This window comes from Homo sapiens, chromosome 19 (assembly GCF_000001405.40).
Source record: "Homo sapiens chromosome 19, GRCh38.p14 Primary Assembly".
NCBI classification, from domain to species: domain Eukaryota; kingdom Metazoa; phylum Chordata; class Mammalia; order Primates; family Hominidae; genus Homo; species Homo sapiens.
Window position 1 is genome coordinate 35,590,704 of NC_000019.10, and position 17,613 is coordinate 35,608,316.

General features: G+C 47.4%; 1 long non-coding RNA gene across 1 annotated transcript, besides 1 other annotated feature; it reads left to right on the forward strand.

The window, feature by feature from the left end:
• Positions 5,949 to 6,088: an enhancer, noted in NCBI's record as "active region_14486". NCBI's record gives its function as "activates an Ori minimal core promoter by ATAC-STARR-seq in GM12878 lymphoblastoid cells {active_cell/tissue: GM12878}" and the evidence as "EXISTENCE:reporter gene assay evidence [ECO:0000049][PMID:35858748]".
• On the forward strand, positions 7,192 to 10,798 carry LINC01766 (long intergenic non-protein coding RNA 1766). The gene is made up of 3 exons (NR_110750.1): positions 7,192 to 7,254; positions 9,938 to 10,051; positions 10,602 to 10,798. It is a non-coding gene; the product is annotated as a long intergenic non-protein coding RNA 1766 (long non-coding RNA).
• Positions 10,799 to 17,613: the final 6,815 nt, after the last annotated feature.

Consider the following 17,613-nt stretch of genomic DNA (forward strand, 5'->3'; position numbering starts at 1 on the left):
TAGAGATGGGATTTCTCTATGTTGGCCAGGCTGGTCTTGAACCCCTGGCCTTAAATTATCTGCCTGCCTCAGCCTCTCAAAGTGGTGAAATTACATGCATGAGCCACCGTGACCAGCCAAAATTTCATCAATTTTGTTATGTTTTCTTCTATTCCTGGCTTGCCAAGATTTTTTAAATTAGAATTTTATATTGAGGCTAGGCACAGTGGCTCATGCCTGTAATTCCAGTACTTTGGGAGGCCAAGGAAGGAGAGTCATTTGAGGCCAGGAATTTGAGACCAGCCTGGGCAACATAGCTAGATCTCGTCTCTACTGAAAAAAGAAAAAAAAATTAGCTAGGCATGGTACCTGTATTCTCAGCTACTCAGGAGGCTGAGATGGGAGGATAACTTGAACCCAGGAGTTAGAGGCAGCAGTGAGCCATGATCACACCCTTGTACTCCAGCCTGGGCAACACAGCGAGACCCTGTCTCAAAAAAAATTTGTGTTGAATCATATTAAATACTTTTCAGCATCTATTAACATGATCATACGAGATTTTAATTCAATCCTTTAACAAAGTTATTCACAATGAACCATTCTTATACTCTTGGGAAAACCTTACTGGGTCACAATCTATTATTCTTTTTTTTTTTTTTTAGAGACAGAGTCTTGCTCTGTCGCCCAGACTGGAGTGCAGTGGCACGATCTTGGCTCACTGTAAGCTCCGCCTCCCAGGTTCACGCCATTCTCCTGCCTCAGCCTCCCGAGTAGCTGGGACTACAGGCGCCCACCACCACACCCGGCTAATTTTTTGTATTTTTAGCAGAGACGGGGTTTCATCGTGTTAGCCAGATGGTCTTGATCTCCTGACCTCGTGATCCGCCCGCCTCAGCCTCCCAAAGTGCTGGGATTATAGGCGTGAGCCACCATGCCCGGCCTCTATTATTCTTTTAATATGTGATGGATATGGTTTGCTTATGCCTTATTTGGGTCCTACATAGTTTTCATCTGGGGGCTGTTCTCAGTCCTTTGCATTGGGGCAGTGCTGGCAATGCAGAATGGGTTGAGAAGCATTCAATGTGTTTCTGTGTTCTGGAAACATTTCTATGTCATGGGAATTAGCTGCTTCTTAAAGATTGGAGTGGGCCGGACATGGTGCCTCATGCCTGTAATCCTAGTACTTTGGGAGGCTGAGGCGGGTGGATCACCTGAGGTCAGGAGTTCGAGACCAGCCTGGCCAATATGGTGAAACCCCCATCTCTACTAATAATACAAAAATTAGCTGGGCATGGTGGCACACAACTGTAATCCCAGCTGCTCGGGAGGCTGAGGCAGGAGAATCACTTGAACCCGGGAAGCGGAGGTTGCAGTAAGCCAAGATCACGCCATTGCACTGCAGCCTGGGTGACAAGAGCGAAACTCCATCTCCAAAAAAAAAAAAAAAAGTTGGAGTGAACATGCCTGCAAAATCTTCTGGGCCTGTAATCTTTTTCGTGTAGCAGATTTTGAGTACTTTGTCTTCACTATGATGGTGAAAGCAGCAACTCTCGGAGTCAAGTACAAGCCACTGTTATGAGCAGCTTCGGAGTATTGATTCTTTTGGTCTCCACACTAACCCTATAGCCTGCATTCTTACAGACTGAGGATAAAGCACAGGGAGCTGGAAAGACACAGTGCAGGTCTCACAGCGAATTCACTGAGGGGCCAGGATTGGGAACCAGGAAATCTGCCACCAAAAGCCGTGTTCTTAAGCACTAGGTGGACAACACTGCCTCCCATCGACCGTTAGTAGCAATTCAATCTTTTTACCTGCTGGAGTCACTTGTTAATCACTTACCTTTCTCTTAACAAATCATTTTTATTTTCGACATAGAAGCTAACTTGAAGGAGCGCCCACTGGCCCAGAGTGGTACAACTTAAACATCAAAAATATTAATAACGGCCAGGCGCGGTGGCTCACTCCTGTAATCCCAGGACTTTGGGAGGCTGAGGCAGGTAAATCAATTGAGGTCAGGAGTTCGAGACCAGCCCGGCCAACATGGTGAAACCTCGTCTCTACTAAAAATATAAAAATTAGCCAGCCGTGGTGACAGTCACCTGTAATCCCAGCTACTCGGGAGGCTGATGCAGGAGAATCGCTTAGAGCTCGGGAGTCGGAGGTTGTAGTGAGCCGAGATGGCGCCATTGCACTCCAGCCTGGGCAACAAGAGCAAAACTCCGTCTCAAATAATAATAATAATAATAATAGTAATAACAATAATAGATTTAAACACACCAAATATATATCATATTTAATGATGAAGGATGGAATACTTTCCCTATAAGATCAACAACAAGGAAAGGATGTCTGCTCTTGACACTCCTATTTGACATAGTGCTGGAAGTTCTAGTCACTGCAAGAAAAAAACGCAAACAGGGCCCGGCGCAGTGGCTGACGTCTGTAATCCTAACACTTTGGGAGGCAGGAGGATCACTTGAGACTAGGATGTCAAGACCAGCCTAGGCAACACAGCATGACCCCATCTCTACAAAAAATATTAAAAAATTAGCCAAGCATGGTGGCACATGCCTGTAGTCCTACCTGCTCAGGGGGCTGAGGCAGGGAGATCACTTGAGCCCAGGACTTTGAGACTGCAGTGAGCTATGATCACACCAACACTGCACTCCAGCCTGAGGAATAGAGTGAGACTCTGTCTCAAAAAAGAAAAAAAGGCATTTAGATTGGAAAGGAAGAAATAAAACTGTATCTGCAGGTGACATGAGATATGTGTGTGTGTGTGTGTCTGTGTGTGTAGTTGATGCAAAAATAATTGCGGTTTTTGCCATTGAAAGGAATGACTGCTGGGCATGGTGGCTCACGCCTGTAATCCCAGCACTTTGGGAGGGTTTTTTTTTTTTTTTTTTTTTTTGAGATGGAGTCTCACTCTGTCACCCAAGCTGGAGTGCAGTGGTGTGGTCTCGGCTCACTGCCAGCTCCGCCTCCCGGGTTCACGCCATTCTCCTGTCTCAGCCTCCCGAGTAGCCGGGACTACAGGCACCCGCCACCACGCCCAGCTAAATTTTTGTATTTTTAGTAGAGACGGGGTTTCACCTTGTTAGCCAGGATGGGCTCGATCTCCTGACCTCGGGATCTGCCCTCCTCAACCTCCCAAAGTGCTGGGATTACAGGCATGAGCCACCGTGCCTGGCGTTTTTCTTTTCGTTTTTTTTTTTTCTTTTTTTTTTTTTTTTGGAGATAGAGTCTCACTCTGTCACCCAGGCTGGAGTGCAGTGGTGTGATCTTGGCTCACTGCAACTTCCACCTCCTGGGTTCAAGCGATTCTCCTGCCTCAGTCTCCCTAGTAGCTGGGATTACAGGCGCCCACCACCATGCCCAGCTAATTTTTGTATTTTTAGTAGAGACGGGGTCTCACCATGTTGGCCAGGCTGGTCTTGAACTCCTGACCTTAGGTGATCCACCTACCTCAGCCTCTCAAAGTGCTGGGATTACAGGCGTGAGCCACAGCCCTGGACGGATGTATTTTCAATACATGTCTTTATAATGCATGTGAAAGCTAACGCATACATGGGAGACAATGAAGGGACCAATATGGTGGAAGTTTTCCATATTCCACTTGAAGTTGCAAAATATTCAATCTAGGTAGACTATAGAATGTTTAAGTGTGTTTACCATAATCCGTAGAGCAATCACTTAAAACTTGCAAAGATATATAGTGAAAATCACAATAAATAAATTAAAATGGAGTACTAAAATAGTATTTGAATAATCCAAAAGAAAGAAGGAAAAGGGAAAACAAGGAACAAAACACAGAAAAGTGGAAATAAAAAACAAATAATAGTAGACCTAAAGCAAAACATACCAATAATCATATTTAAGGCACATGATCTAAACACACAAGTTATAAAATATTTTCATAATGCACTTAAAAAAAAAATAGCCAGAGCCGGGCGCGTTGGCTCACACCTGTAATCCCAGCACTTTGGGAGGCCAAGGCAGGCAGATCACGAGGTCAGGAGACCATCGTGGCCAACAAGGTGAAACCCTGTCTCTACTAAAAATACAAAAATTAGCTGGGCGTGGTGGCGGATGCCTGCAATCCCAGCTACTAGGGAGGCTGAGGCAGGAGAATCGCTTGAACCAGGGAGTCAGAGGTTGCAGTGAGCCGAGATCGCACCACTGCACTCCAGCCTGGCGACAGAGGGAGACTCCATCTCAAAAAAAAAAAATAGCCAGGTTCAAAGGCTCATGCCTGTAATATCAGCACTTCGGGAAGCCGAGGTGGGTGGATCACTTGAGCCCAGGAGTTTGAGATCAGCCTGGAAAACATGGTGAAACTCCGTCTCTACTAAAAATACAAAGAAGTTAGCTGGGTGTGGTGGCACACGCCTATAGTCCCAGCTACTTGGGAGACTGAGGCAGGAGGATAACCTGAGCCCAGGAAGTCGAGGCTGCAGTGAGCCATCATCACATCACTGCACTCCAGCCTGGGTGACAGAGTGAGGCCCTGTCTCAAATAAATACATACATAAATAACTTGAGCCCAGGAGTTCAAGATCAGCCTGGGCAACATAGTGAGACCCCATCTCTGCAAAAAATTTCAAAATTAACCTGGCATGGTGGCTTGCACCTGTAGCCCCAGCTACTCAGAAGTTTGGGGCAGGAGGTTGTTTGAGCCCAGGAGGTCAAGGCTGCAGTGAGCCGTGTTCACACCACTACACTCCAGACTAGCAACAGAACAAAACCTTGTCTTAAAAAAAATAGAAGTAGGCCAGGCGCGGTGGCTCACTCCTGCAATCCCAGCATTTTGGGAGGCCAAGATGGGCTGATCACCTGAGGTCAGGAGTTCGAGACCAGCCTCACTAACATGGTGAAACCCAGTCTCTACTAAGCATACAAAAATTAGCCAGGCATAGTGGCAGGTGCCTGTAATCCCAGCTACTTGGGAGGCTGAGGCAGGAGAATCACTTGAATGCAGGAGGCGGAGGTTGCAGTGAGCCGAGATCACGCCATTGCACTCCAGCCTGAACAACAGAGTGAGACTCTGTCTCAAAAAATAAAAAAATTAAAAACTTAAAAAATAGAAGTAGGCCGGGCGTAATGCCTGTAATCCTAGAACTTTAGGAGGCCAAGGCAGGCGGATCACTTAAGGTCAGGCGTTCGAGACCAGCCTAGTCAACATGGCAGAACCCCGTCTCTACTAAAAATACAAAAAATTAGCCAGGCATGGTGGTGCGCACCTGTAGTCCCAGCTACTCAGGTGGCTGAGGCAGGAGAATCACTTGAACCCAGGAGGCGGAGGTTGCAGTGAGCCAAGATCACATCACCACACTCCAGCCTGGAAGACAGAGCAAGAAGAAAGAAGGAAAAGAAAGAAGAGAAGGAAAAGGAAGAAAAGAGGGAAGGGAAGGGAAAGGGAAAGGGAAAGGGGAAGGGGAAGGGAAGGGGAAAGGGAAAGGGAGGGGAGGGGAAGGGAAGGGGGAAAGAATGAAGGAAAGAAAGGAAAGGAAAGGAAGGAAGAAAAGAAATGATTGTTTGCTTGGTGTTGGAGGGGCTTGAGGGGGTGGGGAAAAAGGGGGGAACCCACACATTTGATCAAAGAACTCTTCTGTGTTGACTGTTGTGGTATGAGAGCAGAGAAAATGCATTGTGTTTTTCCTGAAACACAAGACTCCGAGGCCTACATCACTCTTGCCCCAAGTAGTGCTTTTCTCTCAAGATGCTCAGGAGGAATCTTTAAACAAAGATGATCAAGGAAATGAGGCTTATTTATAGGTCTGTTTTGAAGGTGGAACCAGGGATTCCTCAATTGGCCAATCACTTGAGAGAGTAGAAGGAGCTGTCACCCCATCAAACCAATCAGAAGCCAGGTGTTGGTTCCCACCCTATGACATACCACCTCCAATTGGCCAGTAGAAGTAGAGAGACAGGCTAGGAGGCGGGGCCTGCCTGGCCGCCATGGTAATCCCCTGTGGTTGGTGATCAAGGAAGAGCATAGTGCCAGACCTAGGTGCCCTCCTGGGAATGTTCCAGGAGGGCAGGAGTAGGAGGAGGAGTGTTAGAGTAGAGGGGAAATGATGAGAGCAGAAAGGGTATCATAAAGGAACCTCAGGGGTGATATAAGTGGACACAGACATATGTCACAAGGGCACGGGTTTAGAACAGGAAGGCTGTTGTACGTGGTTGGAGAGGGAGTTCAAAGAGTCAGAAAGCTGGTTTCAGAAGTTGAGAGGTGTTAGAGGGAGACAGGGCAGGACTTTGTAAGGTGACAAAGAAGTAGAGACTGAAACCCTGTCTCTACTACAAATACAAAAATTAGCCGGGCGTGGTGGCGGGCGCCTATAGTCCCAGCAAGAGGAGTGAATAGGTGGTCAAATAAGGTCTTAGAGGAGCTAAAGGGGCAGGGAGCTTATGGGCGAACAGGAAAGGTTTACAGCAGGACCCCGCAGGATTCATAGGGACGAAGTAAAGGATATTATAAAAGGAACAGTGAGAGAGCTAACAGAAGTTTTACTTTGGGGGGCAGAGGTGGGAGGATCACCTGAGCCCAGGAATTCAAGACCAGCATGGGCAACATTGTAGCAAAACCCCATCTCTACCAAAAGAAAAAAATTTTTTTTTTTTTTTTTTTTTTTTGAGAGAGTCTCGCTGTGTCACCCAGGCTGGAGTGCAGTGGCAGGATCTTGGCTCACTTCAACCTCCACCTCCCGAGTTCTGCCTCAGCCTCCCAAGTAGCTGGGATTACAGGTGCGTGCCACCACGCCCGGCTAATTTTTGTATTTTTAGTAGAGACGGGGTTTCACTATGTTAGCCAAGGTGGCCTCAAACTCCTGACCTCAGGTGATCCGCCCACCTCGGCCTCCCAAAGTATTGGGATTACAGGCGTCAGCCACCACACCCAGCAAAACAAAAACAAAACAAAACAAAATTTTAGTTAGCTGGGCCTGGTGGTGTGCACCTGTAGTCCCAGCCACTCAGGAAGCTGAGGCAGGAGGATCACTTGAGCCCAGGAGTTTGAGGCTGCACTGAGCTATGATTGTGCCTTTGCACTCCTACAGCCTGGGAGAGAAGACCCTGTCTCTGAAAAAAAAAAAAAAAAAAAAAAAAAAACAGAAGACAAAGAAGTTTTACAGGGTGAGAGTTTTATAAGGGAACAGTGAATTTATAATGAAGGTTTTATACCCAAACACAGGTCCAGTCACTCCACGCTTGCAGAGTCCAATTAACAAGAGCAAGTTCTGGTAGAAAGAAGGTGACTTTATTCCAGAGCTCAGGTGAGGGGAAGAGGTACAGGTTCCTGCCTTAAGGGTATTGCTTCAGCTTTCAGGACAGAAAGCAGGGACTTTTAAAGGGGGGCTTGATGTGAATGACATAAAGGTGGGGGGCAAGGAGGTGTGGGGTCTATGTGACATGCTTTGATGTCTTATCTATCAGGTGTTCTAGCTGTCACCATCGTGAGAAGAGAAATTGACCATTGTCTCAAGGCAATCTGATGGGAGAGAATTCTGGGGGTGCCTGATTTGTTTCAAGGTTCAGTCCCTGGAACTTCTAAGTAAACATATTGTTAGATAAGCTTGCCATGTAGGGAGGTTACAGTTGCATTCCTAAAGAGTTAAGTAGGAGATGGGGGGAAAAGAAAAAGGAAAAAAATCCTTTTTTTTCTTTAAAAATGGGGTACTCTGGCCAGGCACAGTGGCTCAAACCTGTAATCCCAGCACTTTGGGAAGCTGAGGCAGGCAGATCACAAGGTCGGAAGTTCAAGACCAGCCTGGCCAACACAGTGAAACCCCGTCTCTACTAAAAATACAAAAATTAGCCGGGCGTGGTGGCAGGTGCCTGTAGTCCCAGCTACTTGGGAGGCTGAGGCAGGAGAATCGCTTCAACCCACAAGGCGGAGGTTGCAGCTGAGCTCACGCCACTGCACTCCAGCCTGGGCGACACAGCAAGACTTTGTCTCAAAAAAAAAAAATGTGGTACTCAATTACAGTTTCCCACTGTCAAATTCCATTCCATTTCTATGGGATTTGGATGCCACATTCATGCTGGCTACTTCCTGCTGAAAGAGGGCATTGTGATTAGTCATCAGAATGGAACCGATCCACTTGGAGTTGGAAATATTTATGAGTAGTTGGACCAATATGGTGTAAGGTCTGGAAAGTCTCTGGGGAAGTCTGTCTTGCATTCCCATATAGAAGGTGAAACAGCAGAAAAATCCACAGCAGAGAAGTATGTCTATCATTGCAACTAGGGCCAAAGTTGTAAATAGCTTCTTTCCAGGTGAGAACAGTCCTCACCTGCAACAGGATGCCAACCATTGACCTGGTGATAATGTGGGGTCAGACATAGCTTTGATTTTTAGGTGCATGTCTCTCAGGGCTATTGAGACATTTACTGAATTATCTGAGATGTGTACACAGCATTTAGTCTTAATTGTCAGGCACATTCCCAGCTGTCAATTGTACCTGGAGCTCCTGTGGAGATATGATGACAGGGTGGTTAAACACATATATTTAACAGGTTACAAGAGGAGCTATGGGCCGGGCGTGGTGGCTCACGCCTGTAATCCCAGCACTTTGGGAGGCCGAGGTGGGAGGATCACTCAAGGCCAGGAGTTCAAGACTAGCCTGGCCAACTACCAGACCGATGAACTCAGTCTCTACTAAAAATACAAAAATTAGCGGGCATAGTGGTGCACACCTGTAATCCCGGCTCCTCAAGTGGCTGAGGCATAAGAATTGCCTGAGCCCAGGAGGCAGAGGCTGCAGTGAGGCGAGATCGTGCCACTGCCCTCCAGCCTGGGTGACATAGTGAGACTTTGTCTCAAAAATAAAAAATAAGTAAATAAGAAAGGGCTGGGTGTGGTGGCTCATGCCTGTAATCCCAGCACTTTGGGAGGCCAAGGCAGGTGGGTCACCTGAGGTCAGGAGTTCAAGACCAGCCTGGCCAACATGGTGAAACCCCAACTCTACTAAAAATACAAAAATTAGCTGGGCATGGTAGCACATGCCTGTAATCCCAACTACTCAGGAGGCTGAGGCACGAGAACTGCTTGAACCCAGGAGGCAGAGGTTGCAGTGAGCTGAGATCACACCATTGTACTCCAGCCTGGAGAAAAGACTGAGACTCTGTCTCAGTAAATAAATAAGAGCGATACAGAGGCCAGGCATGGTGGTTCACACCTATAATCCTAGCACTTTGAAAGATCAAGGCAGAAGGATCATTTAAGGCCAGGAGTTCACGACAAGCCTGGGCAACATAATGAGATTCCATCTCTACAACAACAACAAAAATCAAAAATTAGCTGGGTGTGGTGGTTTGTACCAGCTACGTGGGAGGCTGAGGCAGGAGGATTGCTTGAGCCCAGGAGTTCGAGGCTGCAGTGAACTGTGATCATGCCAGTGCACTTCAGCCTGAGTGAGAGAGCAAGACCTTGTCTCAAAAAATAAAAGGGATTTGCCGGGCGCGGTGGCTCACGCCTGTAATCCCAGCACTTTGGGAGGCTGAGACAGGTGGATCACGAGGTCAGGAGATTGAGACCATCCTGGCTAACACGGTGAAACCCCGTCTCTACTAAAAATACAAAAAATTAGCCAGGCGTGGTAGCGGGCGCCTGTAGTCCCAGCTACTCGGGAGGCTGAGGCAGGAGAATGGCATGAACCTGGGAGGCAGAGCTTGCAGTGAGCCAAGATCGCACCACTGCACTCTAGCCTGGATGACAGAGCGAGATTCCGTCTCAAAAAAATAAATAAATAAAATAAAAAATAAAAAAAAGGGATAGAGAGAGGTTAGAGGAGACATGGTGGGGGTTAGAGAAAGTCAATGAGAATTTTAAATGGGGTCAATGAAGATCATATAGCTGCCAAGGAGAGATGTGTTAGGGTAAGTAGGGAGAGAGTGAGAAAGGATTGTTAGAGTTCAGAAGCCATAGTGAGACATAACCAACTCTCTGCCCCCCAGGTGTTTGAACTGATGTCTGATGAGGATGAATCCAGCGACTACCTCTGCCTGTCCATCCTGGGCCTCTTCTGTTGCCTTCCCCTAGCCATCCCAGCCGTGATCTTTTCTTGCCTGGTGGGCACCTGCATCATGCCAATCCTTCACCCTCCCTCTCCATCTTGCCCCTGACCCTGACTCAACTTCTTCCTTGTTCTCCCTTCTGAACTAGGAGCCTGAGCAACACCAGCACCTCCTGTGGGTTCAGACCCCCACCCTGAGTCCTTACAGTTCCACAGCCCACCCTCACCCAACAACTGTTTTTTTTTTTTTTGAAACAGAGTCTCGCTCTGTCACCCAAGCTGGAGTGCAGTGGTGAGATCTCAGCTCACCGCAACCTCCATCTCGCAGGTTCAAACAATTATCCTGCCTCAGCTTCCTGAGTAGCTGGGATTAGAGGCGCCCACCAACACGCCTGGCTAATTTTCGTATTTTTGGTGGAGCTGGGTTTCACCATGTTGGCCAGGCTGGTCTTGAACACCTGACCTCAGGTGATCTGCCCACCTCAGCTTCCCAAAGTGCTGGGATTACAGGCATGAGCCACCATGCCCGGCCACGCAATAACTCTTTTATACTCATCTTTCCCTGTTCCCTCTCTCCTAAAACTCAGACAAAGTTTGTATTGTAGACAAAGAACTACAATAAATCCAGTGACTATGAGCTGGCAGCCAAGACCTCCAAACAAGCCTACTACTGGGCCATCGCGAGCATCACTGTGGGAATCTTAGGTACCATCTTGTACACCTACCTGATATACTTACTTAGATTGTAAACTGCTTCCCAGCTCTTGAACAAACCACCAAATATACACCACAGTGCAATTTACCTTGGCTCTAAGCATCTACTTGGGCTGAATGGAACACCTGCTCCTCAATGTCTGGAGTGCCAAGCTATCTAAGATTAGAAAAACAAAATGCAAAGTGTTCTTCCTATTCTTACATGCCCCTCAAAGTAACACTTCTTTTTTTTTTTTTTTTTTTGACAGAGTCTTCCTCTGTCCAGGCTGGAGTGCAGTGCCACGATGTCGGCTCACTGCAACCTCTGCCCCCAAGGTTTAAGTGATTCTTCTGCCTCAGCCTCCTGAGTAGCTGGGATTACAGGTGCGTACCACCATGCCCAGCTAATTTTGTATTTTTAGTAGAGACGGGGTTTCACCGTGTTGGCCAGGCTGGTCTCAAACTCCTGACCTCAGGTGATCCACTCACCTTAGCTTCCCAAAGTGCTGGGATTACAGGTGTGAGCCACCATACCAGGCCTCAGCATAACACTTCTAACACCAAATGTTAGAGCCAGGGGCAGGGGTATTTTCCCCACCTACCAACCAACCAGATTCTCCAGCAGACACCAACTGGGTGTCCTGTAATTTAATTCAATTCTGACACTATCTACCTGGAGATGGCATCAGATCCCACAGGTTGAAGGCTCAGTTCCACAAGACTGCCCCCAAATTTGGATGTCAGCCACAAGTGGTAAGTTGTCACCTAGACTTGTGACTGACAAGCTATAAATCAGGTGTTCCCATGACCCCCCTCCTCAAGCCTGATTAATTTGTTCCAGCTGGCCAGGTGCAGTAGCTCAGGCCTGTAATCCCAGCACTTTGGGCGGCTGAGGCAGGAAGATCGCTTGAAGCCAGGAGTTTGAGACCAGCCTGGCCAACATGGCAAAACCCCGTCTCTACTAAAAATACAAAAATTAGACAGGTGTGATGGCATACGCCTATAATCCCAGCTACTCAGGAGGCTGAGGCAGGAGAATCGCTTGAACCCAGGAGGTGGAGGTTGCAGAGAGCTGAGATCATGCCACTGCACTCCAGCCTGGGCAACACAGCGAGACTCCGTCAAAAAAAAAAAAAACAAAACACTATTATCACTCCAGCGATTCCAAGGGTTTTAGGAGCTCTGGGCCACAAAATGGGACCTAGACCAAATATATATGTCACAGTATCACACAAGTGTTGCCAGCCTGGGTCAGCAGCTTGAAGGGAAGGAAGTGGTAGTGCCAGCAGCCCACTCGACCAGAACTCAAGACCAACTCCAGGACCCTGCTATGGCGTGGGGGACATGGGAGAGAGAGGAGGACCCCGTTGCTCGAGGACAGCCTGCCCAGATTCATGTATTCACATCGCAAGTCTAGTTCTGCCTACCAAGGGCGTTGGCTGTGCTACCTGACTCTGGAGACGTAGCAATGACTACTTCAAATTCAACTCAACCCCCTCAGAACATATAAATTGGGGTGAGAGACAGACATGCCACCAGACAGTGACAATCGGAGTGGTCCAATATATAATGGAAGAAAACTTGGGAAGGGTTACTAAAGAAACACTTGTTTAATGACACTCGTTACAGACAGTAAGGCGGGCCAGGCACAGTGGCTCATGCCTGTAATCTCAGCACTTTGGGAGGCCGAGGCGGGCGGATCACTTGAGCTTGGGAGTTCAAGACCAGCCTGGCCAACATGGTGAAACCTTGTCTCTACTAAAAATACAAAATTAGCCAGGCGTGGTGGTGTGCACCTGTAATCCCAGCTACTCAGGAGGCTGAGGCATGAGAATTGCTTGAACCTGGGAGGCAGAGGTTGCAGTGGTTCGAGATTGTGCCACTGCACTCCAACCTGTGGGACAGAGCAAAACTGACTCCATCTCAAAAAGAAAAAGACAGTAAGGCAGACTTTATTCAGGACCATTGCAATATGCAGAGGGAATACTGAGACAGGGGCCTGCACTGGAGGAGAAAGATGGGGCTCAACACTAAATACAGCATGAGCAAGTGGGAAGTCCTACCCAAGGAGCAGGGTAGGGGTCAGTGGATGGAAAATTAGTAAGAGAAAACATTGAGGGTAAGGGGGATTCTGACTAAACCAACCTAATAGGATTCTAGTTGAAGACAGGCCAGGGTGACCAGACATCACCAGGGGGATGGTGGAGGATGAGGAACCTGATCAGATGCCGAGGTGTATCAGATACAGAGGATGAGGGTTTCTAGCTAAACTGACGTAGAAGGGTTCTTTTGCTACAACTGGATTTTACAAAGAAGTGCACAGAAGGAGAAGGTTCAGATGCTTTTTTTTTTTTTTTTGAGATGGAGTCTCACTCTGTCACCCAGGCTGGAATGCAGTGGTGCAATCTTGGCTCACTACAGCTTCCGCCTCCCGTATTCAAGCCATTTTCCTGCCTCAGCCTCCTGAGTAGCTAGGATTACAGGTGCTCACCACCTCAACCAGCTAATTTTTTATAGTTTTAATAGAGATGGGGTTTCACCATGTTGGTGAGGCTGGTCTTGAACTCCTGACTTCGTGATATGCCCGCCTCGGCCTCTCAAAGTGCTGGAATTATAGGCGTGAGCCACCGTGCCCAGCCTTTCTTTTTTTTTTTTTTTTTTTTTTCTTTTCTTTTCTTTTTTTTTTTTTTTTGAGACGGGGTCTCGCTCTCTCACTCAGGCTGGAGTACAGTGGCATGATCTCGGCTCACTGCAACCTCTGCCTCCCAGGTTCAAGTGATTCTCCTGCCTCCACCTCCTGAGTAGCTGGGATTACATGCGCCTGCCGCCACGCCTGGCTAATTTTTTTATTTTTAGTAGAGATGGGATTTCATCATGTTGGCCAGGCTGGTCTTAAAACTCCTGACCCCAGGTGATCCACCTGCCTTGGCCTCCCAAAGTGTAGGAATTACAGGCGTGAGCCACCGCGCCTGGCCGCCCGGCTAATTTTTATATTTTTAGTAGAGCTGGGGTTCTCCATGTTGGCCAGGCTGGTCTCAAACTCCTGAGATCAGGTGATCCACCTGCCTCAGCCTCCCAAAGTCCTGGGATTACAGGCATGAGCCACTGGGCCCGGCCCAGGTTCAGAAGCCTGACTAAAGTTTGGCCAAGCAAAGAATCCTTGTCAGGAGGCTGTAAATAAGAGACCTGTGAGAAATAAAAATTGTCAGGTGTCTGAGCCCAAGCCTGCATGTATACATCCAGATGGCCTGAGGCAACTGAAGAACCACAAAAACAAGTGAAAATGGCCAGCTCCTGCCTTAACTGATGACATTACCTTGTGACATTCCTTCTCCTGGACAATAAGTCTCCGGAGCTCCCCACCGAGCACCTTGTGACCCCCGCCCCTGCCTGCAAGAGAACAACCCCCTTTAACTGTAATTTTCCACTACCTACCCAAATCCTATAAAACTGCCTCACTCCTATCTCCCTTTGCTGACTCCTTTTTCGGACTCAGTCCGCCTGCACCCAGGTGATTAAAAAGCTTTTACTGCTCACACAAAGCCTGTTTGATGGTCTCTTCACACGGACGCACGTGACAAAAATAAAATCCTAAGTCCGCCAACTGGCTGAATGAACACTGTCTTGGCCAAGGGGCCTACAGAGAAACACTAAAAGCTGAGTTCCTAGCCGTGACTGAACGGGTGGTCGGGCACACCTCATTCTACCTCCTCCCTTGCTGACTGCCATGAAGCTTTCTTCCCTAAGGGTTAAACAGAAACCAGCCCTATTGAAAGACTCATTCACTGCTAATTTCAACCAATGGCCTGAAATACATGGCTGCTCCTCCCTTTTGTGGTTTCAACATAACAACTGACCAGCATTCCTTCCTGATCAGAGGCCACCTAACCACGGGGTGTGGCTCTGGCCAGTCTACAGAGGCTGCACACAAAGGGCCTTTGTGTCCTCTGCATCACCTTTTGATGTATAGGGCCTAATTGTAATACATTTAAGTGTTAAGTCTCCACTCCAAAGTGAACATGGGGCCTGGCACGGTGGCTCACGCCTGTAATCCCAGCACTTTGGGAGGCCAAGGTGGGCGGATCACCTGAGGTCAGGAGTTTGAGACCAGCCTGGCCAACATGGTGAAACCCTGTCTCTACTAAAAATAAAAAAATTAGCCAGGCATGGTGATGGGTGCCTGTAATCCCAGCTACTCATGAGGCTGAGGCAGGAGAATTGCTTGAACCCTGGGAAAGAGAGGTTGCAGTGAGCTGAGATCGCACCACTACACTACAGCCTGGGTGACAGAGTAAGACTCCATCTCAAAAAAAAAAAAAAAAAAAAAAAAAAGTGAATATGGGATGTTACTACACATGTGCTGTACCTTCCCTTCATGAATATTCATAGCTCCTCCTATAACCTGTTGAATATGTATACTGAGCCAAGCCATTCAGCGTTAACTCTGACCTTATCCTTCCCTTACTGGAGGTGCCTGCTCTCAGCTTCTACCGGAGGCTACACTTCTCGGCCTGTGAGATGGCCCGGCTGCAGGCTGCAACTCTTTATGAGAAATAAAGCTCTCCTTTCCAAATTTGTAAACCTGTATTAGTCTGTTCTCACGCTGCTGAAAAGAACTGCCCAAGACTGGGTAATTTATAAAGGAAAGAGGTTTAATTGACTCACAGTTCCGCAGGGTTGGGGAGGCCTCAGGGAACTTAAAATCATGGTGGAAAAGAAAGCAAAAACGTCCTTCCTCAGATGGCAGCAGGAAGGAGAAGTGCCAAGCAAAGAGGGAAAAGCCCCTTATAAAACCATCAGATCTCGTGAGAACTCACTATCTCAAGAACAGCAGCATGGGGGTAACCACCCCCATGATTCGATTACCTCCCACTAGGTCCCTCCCACAACACATGGGGATTTGGGGAACTACAATTCAAGATGAGATTTGGGTGGGGACAGCCAAACCATATCAAAACCTCATGATTCTTCAGTTGACATCTAATCTGAGCTACCATGGTCTATCAAAAAACCACAGCTCTTGAGGGGATCTCAATGGCTGTTAACAAACTGGTTAGAGTTCTGGTCAGGTTCTGATTGTAGAGAGCCTCTGTAACAGATATGGATTGCCTCCTTCCCCCCACCCTCCTTGTTATTTTTATTTCATTTTATTAAATTTTTTTTTGAGACAGGGTCACACTATGTCACCCAGACTGGAATGCAGTGGCACAATCTCAGCTCACTGCAACTTCTGGCTCCCAGGTTCAAGTGATTCTCATGCCTCAGCCTCCTGAGTAGCTAGGACTACAGGTGCATGCCACCATGCCCAGCAAATTTTTATATTTTTTGTAGAGACAGGGTTTTGCCATGCTGCCCAGACTGGTCTCAAACTCCTGAGCTCAACCAATCTGTCTGCCTTGGCCTCCCAAAGTGCTGGGATTATAGGCGTGAGCCACTGTTCCCAGCCATGATTTTTATTTAACAAATACTCATTATTTAACAAATACTTTCTGAGCACCTACTGTGTCCCAGGCATTGTCTTGGGAACGAGGAACACAACGGAGCAAGAGAAGTAAGGCCAACTTCTTCTCTGATGGAGCTTACATTCTAGTGGGAAAGAAAACTATAAACAAGTATACCCAAAAATAAACAAGATAATTACAGGGAATGGTAAATGCTATAGAGAAAAATAAAACAGAATAAGAAGCTAAAGTGGTGCCAGGACTGGTCCAGCAACTATTATGGTGTTGGGAGCAAGCCCCCCAAAATATGGCCATAAACTGACCCCAAGACTGGCCACAAACAAAATCTCCACAGCACTGTGACATGTTCATAATGGCCCTAACGCCCAAGCTGGAAGGTTGTGGGTTTACGGGAATGAGGGCAAGGAACACCTGGCCCGCCCAGAGTGGAAAACCACTTAAAGGCATTCTTAAGCCACAAACAATAGCATGAGCGATGTGTGTCTTAAGGACGTGTTCCTGCTGCAGTTAACTAGCCCAACCTATTCCTTTAATTCGGCCCATCCCTTCGTTTCCCATAAGGGATACTTTTAATTTAATATCTATAGAAACAATGCTAATGACTGGTTTGCTGTTACTAAATATGTGGGTAAATCTCTGTTCGGGGCTCTCAGCTCTGAAGGCTGTGAGACCCCTGATTTCCCACTTCACACCTCTATATTTCTGTGTGTGTGTGTTTAATTCCTCTAGCACCAGTGGGTTAGGGTCTCCCCAACCGAGCTGGTGTCTGCAATGGTGTGCCACCAGATAAGTACGGAAATTGCCAGCAAGTGTTTAGAAACACAGCAATTTGACATATCCATGACATCCAAGTATAGGATCAATGGATTTTCTTGTTGAACAGGGTAGAGACCAAAAGGATTGGTCCATGACAGGTTGGAAACATCAAACAAATGATCCTTCTCCATAGTTACAAGTAGTTTGAGATACACTGAGCTAGTGGGCAATGATGTCTACAAGGTATATTATTTAGAGTCATGCTAGCTGCTATAACAAATAAACCCCACCATTTCAGTAGCTCACAAAATAAAAGTTCTTTTTTTTTTTTTTTTTGAGACGGAGTTTCACTTTTGTTGCCCAGGCTGGAGTGCAATGGCACGATCTCAGCTCACAACAACCTCTGCCCCCTGGGTTCAAGCGATTCTCCTGCCCCAGCCTCCCAAGTAGCTGAGATTACAGGCATGCACCACCACACCCGGCTGATTTTTTTGTATTTTTAGTAGAGACGGGGTTTCTCCATGTTGGTCAGGCTAGTCTCAAACTCCTAACCTCAGGTGATCCACCTGCCTCAGCCTCCCAAAGTGCTGGGATTACAGGCATGAGCCATCACGCCCAGCCAGAAGCTCATTTCTTACTGTTCCTTTGAGCACATTCCAGCATCAGGGTCTTTCCACTTGCTGTTCCCACTTTGGGAACTCCATTT